Source organism: Homo sapiens, chromosome 16, assembly GCF_000001405.40.
Source record: "Homo sapiens chromosome 16, GRCh38.p14 Primary Assembly".
NCBI classification, from domain to species: Eukaryota; Metazoa; Chordata; class Mammalia; order Primates; family Hominidae; genus Homo; species Homo sapiens.
The window spans coordinates 66622984-66638158 of record NC_000016.10 but is presented as its reverse complement, the minus strand read 5'-3'; the positions used below and the strand labels follow the sequence as shown (position 1 = coordinate 66638158).

At 47.2% G+C, this 15175-nt stretch overlaps 1 protein-coding gene across 6 annotated transcripts in view; it reads left to right on the top strand.

Annotated features, from left to right (window-relative positions):
- Nucleotides 1-15175, top strand: part of CMTM4 (CKLF like MARVEL transmembrane domain containing 4) — a 98566-nt gene that overhangs the window by 58585 nt on the left and 24806 nt on the right. For all 6 annotated transcript variants that reach the window (XR_933209.3, XR_933210.3, XM_017022954.2 and 3 more), the window contains exons 2-3: nt 1578-1754; nt 14657-14755. Coding sequence is in view for 4 of the 6 variants with exons in the window: in XM_017022954.2 (XP_016878443.1) it covers nt 1578-1754; nt 14657-14755 (276 nt within the window). In the remaining 2 variants the exon portion in view is untranslated. The remainder of the gene's footprint in view (nt 1-1577; nt 1755-14656; nt 14756-15175) is intronic.

Sequence of the window (15175 nt, the reverse complement as noted above, 5' to 3'; positions counted from 1 at the left end):
ACAGATGAACCAGCTTTCCTGGGAGAGGGTGGGATAAGCTGATGTCTGGCAGGGAGAAGCAGTCAGGGAAGACATGGGGAGGAGGTGGCGGCATCATCAAGTGGAGCATTGGAAAGCATGAGTAGGACTTTCAGCAGGTGGAGAAAGGCCCCAGAACAGCCCGTGCCTTGGATGCTGCTGGCATTTTAATCATCTGAAGATCTCATCAGAAAGCAGATTCTGATTCTGTAGTTCAAGGGGAGGAAGCAGAGATTCTGCATTTCCCACAAGCTCTAAAGGACAAGTCTCTAGAGGACCACAGAGCTGCCTGCCTCTGCTTCCTTGACTTTTGAGGTGGAGGCCAGCCTGGAAGCAGCGGCATAGGCTTCAGATGCCACTGAACTGGGCGGAGCGGGAGCCTGAGACTGATCTGGCTTTAGGTGCTCGAAACCTTTCTTTGATCACAGGGCCATTAACTCCGCCTTTGGGCCTCCTCCTTCTCCTGAAATCCCCCTTTAAAAGTTCACTTGGTAATTTCTATCAATATCTATTTGATTTTATGATCTATGAACTCTTAGGACATATTGCCAGAATGGTACTTTGGTCCTTCAGAAAAAAATTTATTCTTTTTTTTTGAGATGGAATTTCGTTCTTGTTGCCCAGGCTAGAGTGCAATGGCGCGATCTCAGCTTACTGCAACCTCTACCTCCCAGGTTCATGCGATTCTCCTGCCTCAGCCTCCTGAGTAGCTGGGATTACAAGCATGCGCCACCACACCCGGCTGATTTTGTATTTTTAGTAGAGAGGGGGTTTCTCCATGTTGGTCAGGCTGGTCTTGAACTCCAGACCTCCGGTGATCTGCCAACCTTGGCCTCCCAAAGTACTGGGATTACAGGCATGAGCCCCCGTGCCCAGCCTAGAAATTTATTCTATTATTGGTAGATTTCTTAATGTTTTTTAATAAGCTGCCATCTTGTTGTGATCAAGTTCAAAAAATATATTTTTTAAAACCATATGAATTAATTAGGTGCGCCTCTTGTTCCCACCTAATTGGGGGAAAAGGAGATTATACCAATCATTGTTTTAAAGCCGTCAGGAGTCCCAGTTAACCTGTGTGACTTTAGCAGGAGCCACCAAGGTAACTGCAGATGGCACAAGTCAGACACCATCAGAATTCTGCTCTCCCAGTGTTTGGGATAATTGTGGTAGAGACCATGAATTAGAAACACACATAGGCAACACCCACTTACTTATTGGTGGCAGGAGAAGACCTAGAAACATTGTAGAGATGTTTCTGCTTCCTCCCAAGGGCCAGCAGTTTACACCCGGGGGCCACATCACACCAGATTGATTTCAGTGTATGTGGTGGGGCCTTCACTGTTTACATTAGTAATTTGATCCTTCCATTAAGACCCCTGCACCTATTCTTTAGGTAAGAATTGAAGCAGGTCTGATTTCCGACAGTTACACTGCTGTCCCAGAGGAAAACTCAGTGGCAGTATGTTGTTGTTCAGTGTTATATAAGCATGGCAGGTACGTATGTCCGCAGATGTATACTAAACATATACGTACATATATGTTTCCAATTTTCTTCCTAGATCTTGGCCCTGATTGCATTCATCTGCATAGAGACCATCATGGCATGCTCCCCGTGTGAAGGCCTCTACTTTTTTGAGTTTGTGAGCTGCAGTGCGTTTGTGGTGACTGGCGTCTTGCTGATTATGTTCAGTCTCAACCTGCACATGAGGATCCCCCAGATCAACTGGAATCTGACAGTGAGTACAAGCGGCCACTCTGGCCATGAAAGGATCACGTGCCTGTTGGCTCCAAGGAAAAGCTGGAATCTCTCCAGGTCATGTTTGGTTCTAGTTCATTTTGATCCTTAAATATTCTATTATAATTCAACTGTGAAATTTTAAATTTCTTTACTGGGTTAAGTAAAACTACAAAATAAACTGAATCTTAACTAATGGGAGAAACATCATAACAATTATTTTGGCCACCTTAAAGATGTCATTTCAATTTTGCAATCATCTGAGAAGACTGGTCATGTTGATATTTGGAGAATATGGGAAATAAAATACAGTGTAGACATTTACATACTTTTCAGACTGGACCTAAAAGCCATTTATAAAAATATTGATTCTGGAAGAATTGAAAATATGAATGAAAATGCCAGTAACTTACAGAGCCTAGGAATATTATTAAATTCAAAGCAACTAGGAGGACCTGGGGGGGTTTGGTGGTTTGATCAGAAAGTCTTGAGTGGAAACCTGCCCCTTCTCCCCATGGTTTGGGTTCTTAGCTCTGTTTGGCCACCCTTGTTAATCAGATGGGAAGCACAGGGCTGGTCAGTCCTAGACCCCCTTTCCTAGACTGTGTCCTTACTGTGCTGAATGAGAAGAGGATTTTAATATCATTTGGTTTTCTTGATATTTATTTACAAATTAGCATGTGCAAGAGCTCAAAGGGAGTCAGTCAGGGAGATCCACGTAAGCACAGTCGGCTGCCTCACACTGCTGTGCCTGTGGGATGAGAACGCCGTGGGCACCTCAGCTGCTGAGGGGGAAGCAGGAGGAGAGCGCCTCAGACCAGCTACCCTTGCCTGAGATTGGGAGCCACACAGAAGCCACACGTGGCTCTGTCTGTGTTTGGCTGCTGCTGGGCCCATGAGAAAGTGTGGGCCCCAAGGAGGAGGCTGGAGCTGCCACCTCCCTGTCAGGGCTGCTCTCCTGGTGTGCCCTGGGTGGGGAAGGTCCTCCTTACAGGTGCTCTCTGGGTTGTCCTAACCAGCACAGACTCCTAAAGGAGGAAAAAAGGAGAGTTGCTGATCTAGAAAAGTAGATATCAGTTGAAAACTTAGCTGTTTTTTGTCTTAGCACTGGAAGCTGAGAAAAATGTGGTGGTATTTTAAATTTAAGCTCTAAAACCTCAAGATAACTAGAAGCATTTTGTCTGAGTTTTTGTGACAGGTTGTAATGTCTCAACTATTTTTAAAATGAGGTTTATGTTATCCATAAGAAAATGCTTACAGAGCATGTAGTAGACTGTTTAAGAGAACTTTGCAAACCTCCCCCAGTTAAAATGCTCATACTATGGATGCAGGGTCAAGGTCAAGGTCAGCATCTTGTTCATTGCTATCCTACTTGCCTAGTGTTCCTGAGGCCTGTCAATAAATACTTGTTGAGTAAGGGGCTGGGCTGTGAAACCCTGCGGGAGGACCTGTTTGACAAAGAAGCAGCTGCTGGAAAGGTTAAGACTATAGGCATTGAGTCAGACAGACCGAGCTGGGTTCAAGTCCAAGGTAGCTGCTGAAACAGGCTGTGCATGACCCTGGGCTAGTCACTGAGAGCCCTACATTGGTGAAGTGTCAGCACTGGTAAAGTGGAGATAATAATTTTTTTTTTTGCAGGGTTTTTTTTTAAGTATAAAATGAGGTAATGGGTGTAAAGGCATCTGGTAAGGCCTCAAACCAGTGGGCGCTGTGGCCAGTGCAGCAATGTTCATCTCACCTGAGTAAGAGGTGTCCTGGCACGCTGCTGTTATGTTACCCACACTGTTCCCCTGTTTACTTCCACCAGGTTTGACTTGACCCCCTTAATTCTGTTTTGTCCATTTATCTGACAGCCATTAACCTGTTAAAAGACTTCATGCTTCAGATTTCTTACTAATTTATACCAGCGTTTATCCCCAGAAATACCTACTTTTTGTTGTTTTTGGGTTTTTTTTTTTGTTTTTTTGAGACAGAGTCTTGCTCTGTTGCCCAGGCTGGAGTGCAGTGGCGTGATCTCGGCTCAATGAAACCTCCGCCTCCCGGGTTCAAGCGATTCTCCTGCCTCACCCTCCCTAGTAGCTGAGATTATGGGCATGTACCACCATGCCCAGCTAATTTTTGTATTTTTAGTAGAGATGGGGTTTCACCATCTTGGCCAGGCTGGTTTCAAACACCTGACCTCAGGTGATCCACCCACCTCAGCCTCCCAAAGTGCTGGGATTACAGGTGTGAGCCACCACACCCAGCCCAGAAATACCTATTTAGTGAGCTTTCTGGAATTCTGCTTTTTCTATTTTAATCATGAAAGATTTTCCACTTGTTGACTACCACACTACCATGTCACCGGTCATGTTGAGGTGCATCTCTCCCCAGGGAAGTTGATACTCGTTCTTTTCCTCTGGGTGGTGGTGGCCTGGGCCTGTGGTTGGGTGTTGGTGATGTGGTCACTTGAGAACACGATCCTGTTCTTTGGGATCCGTTCTAGACTTTCCACTCTTTTGGAGCAGATAAAGGCTGTGTGTTTGCCCAACAAAAGGGCATATACCTTACATGAACTTGAGGAGATGGTACCTTTTTTTTTTTTTTTTGAGATGGGGTCTTGCTCTGTCGCCCAGGCTGGAGTGCAGTGGTGCGATCTCGGCTCACTGCAACCTTTGCCTCCCGGGTTCAAGTGATTTTCCTGTCTCAGCCTCCTGAGTAGCTGGGATTACAGGCATGTGCCACCGTGCCCAGCTAATTTTTGTATTTTTAATAGAGACGAGGTTTCGCCACGTTGGCCAGACTGTTCTCCAACTCCTGATCTTAGGTGATCTGCCCACCTCAGCCTCCCAAAGTGCTGAGGTTACAGGCGTGAGCCACTGCACCCTGCCAAGATGGTATCTATTAAAGGCAGCTCATGTCCAGTGTTCTCTGAGAGGGGTGAAAAAGTGAGCTCCTCACGGCCGATCTCAGCTCATCAACTCGCTACAGAAGGGTTGGCCTTGGCTGTGTTGTGTTTCTGTAACAAGGTGGTGGGAGTATTGGGAGTATTTTTGTCTCCAGCAGAGCCAGCCTGATGGTTAAAATAGGGTGTGATTGGTATAGATTTAAAAACACAGGTCATTCCAGGAGCCCAGGTTGACATAAATATGGATGAGAAATGATAAATAAGGAGGACAGTGCATAATTTTCTACAAGCATAATTTGATGGAATTTGAATGATTCTGTTAATGTCAAGTTTTTGGTTTGGGTTTATTTTTGGATGGATTGTGGGACTTTGATATATATATATATTTATATATATATATTTATATATATATATATTTATATATATATATTTTGAAACGGAGTTTCGCTCTTGTTGCCCAGGCTGGAATGCAGTGGCACAATCTTGGCTCAACGCAACCTCCACCTCCCAGGTTCAAACGATTCTCCTGCCTCAGCCTCCCGAGTAGCTGGGATTACAGGCATGTGCCACCACACCCGGCTAATTTTTTTGTATTTTTAGTAGAGAGGGGGTTTCTCCATGTTGGTCAGACTGGTCTTGGACTCCCAACCTCAGGTGACCTGCCCGCCTCAGCCTCCCAAAGTGCTGGGATTACAGGCGTGACCCACCGTGCCTGGCGATATTTGTTTTTCTCTGTGTCCTAGGAGCTCATACACTCACATGTTCCACCCCTGTTTACTTTGATTAGTGCCACGGGGCTCCTCCTTTCCTCCCCTTCCCTTCTGGGATGTGGCGCTATCTAAAAGGCGTGTCTGATCCTCCCCCATCCCAAAAGCCTGCCAGTGGCTCCCACTCAACTGGCCCCAGAGCCCAGGGCCAGCTCAGCCCCACTTCCCAGAAGAGGAGGTCTGCACTTGCCTTCTCTACTTCCCCCTCTCCTAATCTCACTTTTCTAATCTCTTATTGTCAAATTCTGAAAAAATTATGAAAGTAAATATGGAGTTTAATATACAGCCACCACCTGGGTCAATAAATAGGAGATTGTCAACACCCCAAAAGCTTCCCATGTGTATTTTCCAGCTAAACACACCCCCTGCCCCTTCCCCCAGTCCACCATCCTGACTATGTGGTGGTCTTCCGCAATTCATCTTCAGCCCACTCCAGTCTGGCAGCATTGAAAGTCCCCTGGTCAGGAGCCTGGGACGGGGCCTCCGTGTTCCTAGATCCTCTGGTTGCTCTTGGGTTCTCACCCCACTCAACATCCTGGTGGTGTCTGCTATGGGGCACTCTGTCCTTCCTGCCATACTCTCTCACCTTGCATCCTGGGCCCCCACACTGTCCTGTTTTTCTTCTTCCGCTTTGGTCACCCTTTCTTAGTGGGCTCTGTGGCCCTGGAGGCCTCTTAGGCCTCTATCTCAGAACCCAGGCTGGGTGCTGTGGTGGGTTGAGAACAGTTGGCAGTTACCCACAGGGGCCACTGGCTGAGCCCTGAGCCCTAGGGCGTGACTCGTCTTGTGTTTTTTTATTTTATTTTATTTTATTTTATTTTTTTATTGATCATTCTTGGGTGTTTCTCGCAGAGGGGGATTTGGCAGGGTCATAGGACAATAGTGGAGGGAAGGTCAGCAGATACACAAGTGAACAAAGGTCTCTGGTTTTCCTACGCAGAGGACCCTGTGGCCTTCCGCAGTGTTTGTGTCCCTGGGTACTTGAGATTAGGGAGTGGTGATGACTCTTAAGGAGCATGTTGCCTTCAAGCATCTGTTTAACAAAGCACATCTTGCACCGCCCTTAATCCATTTAACCCTGAGTGGACACAGCACATGTTTCAGAGAGCACAGGGTTGGGGGTAAGGTCATAGATCAACAGGATCCCAAGGCAGAAGAATTTTTCTTAGTACAGAACAAAATGAAAAGTCTCCCAAGTCTACTTCTTTCTACACAGACACAGCAACCATCCGATTTCTCAGTCTTTTCCCCACCTTTCCCCCTTTTCTATTCCACAACACTGCCATTGTCATCATGGCCCGTTCTCAATGAGCTGTTGGGTACACCTCCCTGACGGGGTGGTGGCCGGGCAGAGGGGCTCCTCACTTCCCAGTAGGGGCGGCCGGGCAGAGGCGCCCCTCACCTCCCGGACGGGGCGGCTGGCCGGGCGGGGGCTGACCCCCCACCTCCCTCCCGGACCGGGCGGCTGGCCGGGCGGGGGGCTGACCCCCCACCTCCCTCCTGGACGGGGCGGCTGGCCGGGCGGGGGGCTGACCCCCCACCTCCCTCCCGGACAGGGCGGCTGGCCGGGCGGGGGCTGACCCCCACCTCCCTCCCGGACGGGGTGGCTGCCGGGCAGAGACGCTCCTCACTTCCCAGATGGGGTGGCTGCTGGGTGGAGGGGCTCCTCACTTCTCAGATGGGGTGGCCGCCGGGCGGAGGGGCTCCTCACTTCTCAGATGGGGCGGCCGCCGGGCGGAGGGTCTCCTCACTTCTCAGACGGGGCAGCTGGGCAGAGACGCTCCTCACCTCCCAGATGGGGTCGCGGCCAGGCAGAGGCGCTCCTCACATCCCAGACGGGGCGGCGGGGCAGAGGCGCTCCCCACATCTCAGACGATGGGCGGCCGGGCAGAGACGCTCCTCACTTCCTAGATGGGATGGCGGCCGGGCAGAGATGCTCCTCACTTTCCAGACTGGGCAGCCAGGCAGAGGGGCTCCTCACATCCCAGACGATGGGCGGCCGGGCAGAGGCTGCAATCTCAGCACTTTGGGAGGCCAAGGCTGGCGGCTGGGAGGTGGAGGTTGTAGCGAGCCGAGATCACGCCACTGCACTCCAGCCTGGGCACCATTGAGCACTGAGTGAACGAGACTCCGTCTGCAATCCCGGCACCTCGGGAGGCCGAGGCTGGCGGATCACTCGCGGTTAGGAGCTGGAGACCAGCCCGGCCAACACAGCAAAACCCCGTCTCCACCAAAAAATACGAAAACCAGTCAGGCGTGGCGGCGCGCGCCTGCAATCCCAGGCACTCGGCAGGCTGAGGCAGGAGAATCAGGCAGGGAGGTTGCATTGAGCCCAGATGGCAGCAGTACAGTCCAGCTTCGGCTCGGCATCAGAGGGAGACCGTGGAAAGAGAGGGAGAGGGAGACTGTGGGGAGAGGGAGAGGGAGGGGGGAGGGGGAGGGTGAGGGGGAGGGGGAGAGGGAGAGGGAAAGTCTTGTGTTTTTTTTTTTCTGACACCAAATACATTTTCCACACCAAGCTGTTCTGTAATCCTTTGACACTGACTGGGTGTTTAACAATTCCGTTCAATTCTGACACTAACTCTCGGAGTTAGCACAGATCCCACAGACGAGGGCCCAGTCCCACAAGATGGCCCCACTTTAGACACCAGCTGCAAAAGGGGTGCCCAGGCACTTCTGTCTGGCTGAGTACAGATTCGATGGTTTCCACCACCCCTCAGGTTCAGTCATTTTCTGCAGTGACTCACAGGACTCAGGAAGGGGCTTTACTTAAACAATTACTGATATGTTTTAAACGATACAACTCAGGAACAGCCACATGGGAGAGATGCATAGGGTGAGGTCTGGAGGGCCTCAGATGCAGGAGCCTCTGTCCTTATGGAGTCAGAATGAGCTCCACTCAGAAGCTCCCCAGACCCCATCGTTCAGGTATTTTTTCTGGAGATTTCACTAGGTAGGCATGACTGATTGGCCATTTGGTGATTGAACTCAATGTCCAGCTCCTCTAACTTCCCTGGAGGTCCAGGGGATGGGGCTGAAAATTCCAACTCTCTAATCACCTGGCTGGTTTTTCTGGTGACCTGCCCCTATCCTGAAACTGTCTACCACCCTCTTCCCACAAAAGTCACTTCGTTAGCATAAACTCGGGTATGATTGAAAGGGACTCATTATGAATAACAAAAGATGCTCATATCACTCAAGAGATTCAAGGATTTGATTAAATATTTTTCATTATAGCACACTCATTCTTTCTGGGACCCAGTTTCCTCATCCATGAAAGTAGAGCAAAATAACAAGTCCTGTCTTGTGGGCATTTTGGATCATAATTAGGTTAGAATTCACTGGGAGCGATATGATTGGCACAGTGACTCCATAGATGGTAGCTGCTACTGTCATCAACATTATAATTGTCCCTTTGATCCTGGGGCCATTCAAGCACAAGTGAGTGCAAAGGATGGGTCGAGTGCTTGCAAACGTTCTTGTCTCCTGGATGGATAGGACAGAGGCTAGAGCCAGCCACCTAGCACATTGGTTTGGGGGCCAACCAGGATTGCAGTGACAGCCCCCAGCTGATTCTGTGTACAAATATTTCATTTGTGATCAGTTCAGCCTTGATTTGTTTCATGGCCCAGGAACTCAAGTGCTTGATGCTGACTTAAGATTTGCAGTATTCCAGTATTAAGCCTTTCAAGTTGTGTGAGTAATAAGTGCTTATTGTAAAACAAAACAAAACAAAACAACAAAAAAACCCCAAAAACTAGAAGATAATAGATAATTTAAAAAAAATCATCTGATGACCCAAGAGAAATGAAAACTTGTTCACACAAAAGCTTGTAGGTTCATAGCTACATTATCTATAATAACCAAAAAGTAGAAATAAATGTCCATCAACTGATGAAGGATAAATAACGTGGTGTATCTATACAATGGAATATTATTCAGTAATAAAAAGGAATGAGTACTGATACATGCTACAACATGAATAAACCTTAGAACCATTATACTAAGTGGAAGATGTAGGGGAAAAAAAGAGAGATCAGACTGTTACTGTGTCTATGTAGAAAGGGAAGACATAAGAAATTCCATTTTTACCTGTACCTTGAACAATTGCTTTGCTGAGATGCTGTTAATTTGTAACTTTGCCCCAGCCACTTTGCCCCAACCTTGAGCTCACAAAAACATGTGTTGTATGGAATCAAGGTTTAAGGCATCTAGGGCTGTGCAGGACGTGCCTTGTTAACAAAATGTTTACAAGCAGTATGCTTGGTAAAAGTCATCGCCATTCTCTAGTCTCAATAAACCAGGGGCACAACGCACTGCTAAAAGCCACAGGGACCTCTGCCTTGGAAAGCCGGGTATTGTCCAAGGTTTCTCCCCGTGAGATAGTCTGAAATACAGCCTCATGGGATGAAAAAGACCTGACCGTCCCCCAGCCCGACACCCGTAAAGGGTCTGTGCTGAGGAGGATTAGTAAAAGAGGAAGGCCTCTTGCAGTTGAGATAGAGAAAGGCCACTGTCTCCTGCCTGCCCCTGGGAACGGAATGTCTCGGTATAAAACCTGATTGTACATTTGTTCAATTCTGAGATAGGAGAAAAACCGCCCTATGGCGGGAGGCGAGACATGTTGGCAGCAATGTTGCCTTGTTATTCTTTACTCCACTGAGATGTTTGGGCAGAGAGAAACATAAATCTGGCCTACGTGCACATCCAGACATAGTACCTCCCCTTGAACTTAATTATGACATAGATTCCTTTGCTCACATGTTTTTTTTGCTGACCTTCTCCCTATTATCATCCTGTTCTCCTACCGCATTCCTCTTGCTGAGATAATGAAAATAATAATCAATAAAAACAGAGAACTCAGAGACCGGTGCCGGGGCAGGTCCTTGGTATGCTGAGTGCCGGTCTCCTGGGCCCACTGTTGTTTCTCTATGCTTTGTCTCTGTGTCTTACTTCTTTTCTCAGTCTCTCGTCCCACCTGACGAGATATCCCACTGGTGTGGAGGGGCAGGCCACGCCTTCAGAAGAGGCCAGGCACAAAGCACATGTTATGTCATTCTATTTGTATGAAATGTCCAGAATATTTGTGGCAGATTTCACACACAGGAAAAAAAAAATGTCCAGAATAGGCAAATCCATAGAGACAGAAAGCAGATTGGTGGTTGCTTAGGGTTGGGGGAGGAATGAGAAATAACTGCTAATGCGTATGAGGCTTTTTTTGGAGTGCTAAAAATGTTCTAAAATTACATTGTGATTGAATTATATACTTTAATTGGGTATATGTTATGGTATGTGAATTATATCTCAATAAAGCTGTTTAAAAATACGTGATATGACCCAATGAAGGGTAACCACTTAAAATACTTGAGTATAAATCCTTCTAAACTGTTCTCTCTAGACAGTCTTTTGCGTATGCATGTGTGTTGTGATATGTGAGTGCAGAAAAATGGAACCATTAAAATCATGCTTTTTCATTTAAATTATTGTACCTTACATGTTAAATATATAACTACGTGATTATTTTTAATGACTGCATAGTGTTCCATTATGGAAATACCATTTTATTGAACAACTCCCCTATTGAGCACTTTGTTTGCTTCCTTATACTTAGACCTTTTTGCCTTATATCATTTATTTATTTATTTTTTTGAGACAGAGTCTCACGCTGTCCCCCAGGCTGCAGTGCAGAGGCGCAGTCTCCGCTCACTGCAGCCTCGACCTCCTGGGCTCAAACAATCTTCCTACCTCAGCCTTCCAAGTAGCTGGGACTACAGGAACGCACTACCATGCCTGGCTAATTTTTTTGAATTTTTTTGTAGAGACAGGGTTTTGCTGTGTTGCCCAGGCTGGTCTCGAACTCCTGAGCTCAAACAATCCACCCACCTCAGCCTCCCAAGTGTTGGGATTACAGGCAGGAGCCACCATGCCTGGCCCCCAATATGATTTTCTTTTTTTTCCTTTTTTTTCTTTTTTTTTTTCTTTGAGACGGAGTCTCATTCTGTCTCTCAGGCTGGAGTGCAGTGGCGCAATCTGGGCTCACAGCAACCTCTGCCTCCTGGATTCACGCAGTTCTTCTGCCTCAGCCTCCCGAGTAGCTGGGACTACAGGCATGTGCTACTATGCCCAGCTAACTTTGTTTTTTTTTTGAGAGGGAGTCTCACTCTGTCGCCCAGGCTGGAGTGCAGTGGCGAGATCTTGGCTCATTGCAATCTCCGCCCCCTGGCCTCTAGCGATTCTCTTGCCTCAGCCTGCCGAGTAACTGGGACTACATGGTGCATGCCACCGTGCCTGGCTAATTTTTTGTGTTTTAGTAGAGATGGGGTTTCGCCATATTGCCTAGGGGTGGTCTTGAGCTCCTGAGCTCAGGCTGTCCACTCACCTTGGCCTCCCAAAGTGCTGGGATTACAGATGTGAGCCACCACGCCTGGCCACAGCTAATTTTTTAGTAGAGACGGGGTCCAGCTAATTTTTGTATTTTTAGTAGAGACGGGGTTTCACCATATTTGCCAGGCTGGTCTCCATCTCCTGACCTCAGGTGATCCGCCCACCTCGGCCTCCCAAAGTGCTGGGATTATAGGCATGAGCTGCTGTGCCTGGCCTCCCTTTTTCTTTTTATTCTGTTGACTTGTTAGAAAAACTGGGTCATTTATCCTGTAGAGGGTCTTGCAGTTGAGTTGGCTGCATGCACCCTCATGGTAGTGTTTCATATGTCCTTCTTTCCCCATTTTCTCTGTGACCTAGTCATTGATCTCAGGGCAGTGTGGTGCTATAGCAGCTGCTCTGACAATTGAAATGTTTTCTGATCTGCTGTGCCCTTGAGGCAGCCACTTGTCACATGTGGCCACTGAGCACTCGAATTGTGGCTAGTGTGATTGAAGAGTGAAATTTTTTATCTTATATGAATTAGTTTAACTTCAGTCACATATGGCTAGTGTTTGCCCTATTGGACAGCACAGTCCTAGAAGCTCAATTATATTTAGATTCATCTTTTAAGCAAGTGCTTCAGTATTTAAATATGATTCAGTGGGATTTGAGGAGGCAGATATGTTATGCTCTTGTTAGCAGTTGCTGGCGTTTTTTTCCCCTGGTTTAATCTGGTTTCTTAGCCTCAGATCATGTTGAAAGATTATTTTTTATCTTTTTAAAATAGGCTTTTTGACATATTTTTTCCCTGTATTTGCTGTTCCCATTCATCATCTCATTCTTCACTCACTACTGTTAATGATCATTACTAAAGCAAATTTAAAACTACTGATACTCCTACAACTTTAAAATTTTTGACTGTTTTCTTTTTTCTTTTTCTTTTTTTTTTTTTTTGAGACAGAGTTTCGCTCTTGTTGCCTAGGCTGGAGTGCAGCGGCGCAGTCTTGGCTCACTGCAACCTCCGCCTCCCGGGTTCCAGCGATTCTCCTGCCTCAGCCTCCCGAGTAGCTGGGATTACAGGCATGTGCCACCACACCCGGCTAATTTTGTATTTTTAGTAGAGACGGGGTTTTTCCATGTTGGTCAGGCTGGTCTCGAACTCCCAACCTCAGGTGATCCGCCCGCCTCGGCCTCCCAAAGTGCTGGGATTACAGGCATGAGCCACCGTGCCCGGCCTGTTTGTTTTCTAGCCCTTTGCTGCATCTCTGTTTTTATGTAGTCACTGTTAATGTTGATACTGTTTTATTTGATGTTTGACCTCACAGTGTATTGTATTTTCCCCTCGTTTCTGAATAGTCTTTGCTTTGGGAAGTATATTTTATATTCTTTTTTTACCCCTACAGCATCTTACCCAGAGCTGAGTGTAACTAAACGCTTCCTGGTTTGAATTTGTGAAAAATTTGCCCTGGCTTACGCAGGTCATAGCTGAAACCCATCCTGCTGGCAGATGCGTCTGAGCAGAGCTTTCCATGAGCCAGGAGCAGGTTGGGTGTCTGCTGCAAGACTCAGCACTGTTATGATGCCAGCATTGTCTCTTTACATCTTATTTTATTATTTTATTGAGACAAGAGTCTCGCTCTGTCACCCAGGCTAGAGTGCAGTGGCACGATCTTAGCTCACTGCAACCTCTGCCTCCCGGGTTCAAGTGATTCTCGTACTTCAGCTGCCCAAGTAGCTGGGATTACAGGCATGCGCCACCATGCCCAGCTAATTTTTGTATTTTTAGTAGAGATGGGGTTTCACCATGTTGACCAGGCTGTTCTCGAACACCTGACCTCAAGTGATCCATCCGCCTCAGCCTCCCAAAGTGCTGGGATTACAGGCATGAGCCACCGCACCAGCCATCTTTACATCTTCAAAAAGAGGAAATCGACCTTGGAGCTAGGCCAGACCAGAGGATCCATCAGGTGTGGATAGTGTAATCAGCCTGGCACTCAGGCAGTTTGGGCTTTTTCCTGAATTTTTTTCCTATAGAGGTTTTAGAGGTACTCTGGTATGACCCAGGCTACTGGGTGCCTCATGCCAAAGTAGTAATAACAGAAGTGACAGTAAATATGTAGGCCACTGTAGCTGTGGGCCAGGCACCATGCTGGGCTCTTCACCTGTATGGTTCCATTTAATTCCTTCAACAACTCTGGGAGGAAGGGGGTACATTCTCACGTAAAGCACAGAAACAAAGTAGCTTGTCCAAAGTCATATGGGTGGTTTGGACCCTGGTCAAGCTGTGACCTTTCATTACCCTGCTATGTTCCCTTCTACAAATAAGACGAGCTAAATCTGTGAAACGGTGGATGCATGCTGTGCAAGAAGCTTAGGAGAAAATTCTCCAGGCTTTAGTGACATAGAGGCTTGAAAGACTGCTTGAGAAAGAGCGTGAAGTCTGGCTAAGTGTGCTCTCTGTGTGAAAGTTTGTTTTGAATGTCACATGTGAGTGCAGGGAATGCTGGAGGGATTTCACCAGTTTTAGTACATTTGGATCCTTGGGGAGCTTTGTCCATAGCAAGATGATTTGAGTGTGGTTTTTAAAAGATGGCACCAGACCTCTAAATGGTAATTAGTGTTAGCAATTTTGGTTACTATTTCTTCAGAAAGGGTAGTGGGGTTGGTGAAAATGTAGATTTTGTGGTGGTGATTTATCAAGTAGTGTCATAAACTGTTAACTTTGCCTTCTTTTGTGTGACCAGTAACCCTGTGACATTGAGACTGAAATATGGAGCCACCAGGGAGGTTGGGTATCGTGGGTCTTATTTTGAAAGTTCTCCAGTTGCTTTTAGAGCAAAGATGGAATGGTTCTTTTCACTTGGTTTATTTTGTCTCTCCCTTTAGGATTTGGTCAACACTGGACTCAGCGCTTTCCTTTTCTTTATTGCTTCAATCGTACTGGCTGCTTTAAACCATAGAGCCGGAGCAGAAATTGCTGCCGTGGTAAGCAAACTCAAATGGTTAAAGCAAGCTGATCTGGGGACCTCCTGTGACCTGCTCGCCTGTCCCTGGCATGTGTCCTGCTCCCCCTCCTGTGGCTTTTCTTTGCTAAAGATGATGTTACTGGGCCAGTGGGGGTCCCAGTCCCTTCAGTGCTGTGGTTCTCAAAGTATGGGCCCCAGAACAGCAGCCTTGGCATCTGTTAGACATCCTTAGGCTCCGCTCCAGAGCTACTGAGTCAGAAATGTATTTGAAGTAACCCTCTGGATGATACAGATGTGCTCTCAAGTTCAAGAACCCCTGCTTTGGTTCGTTTCCAACACAGTCCTTGATGTCTAAGAGCCTTATCTGCCTGGGGAAGGGAGGGTTCTTGAATGCAGTCATGACACCATTTAGCAGTCACATGACATTTCAAGGTGGAAA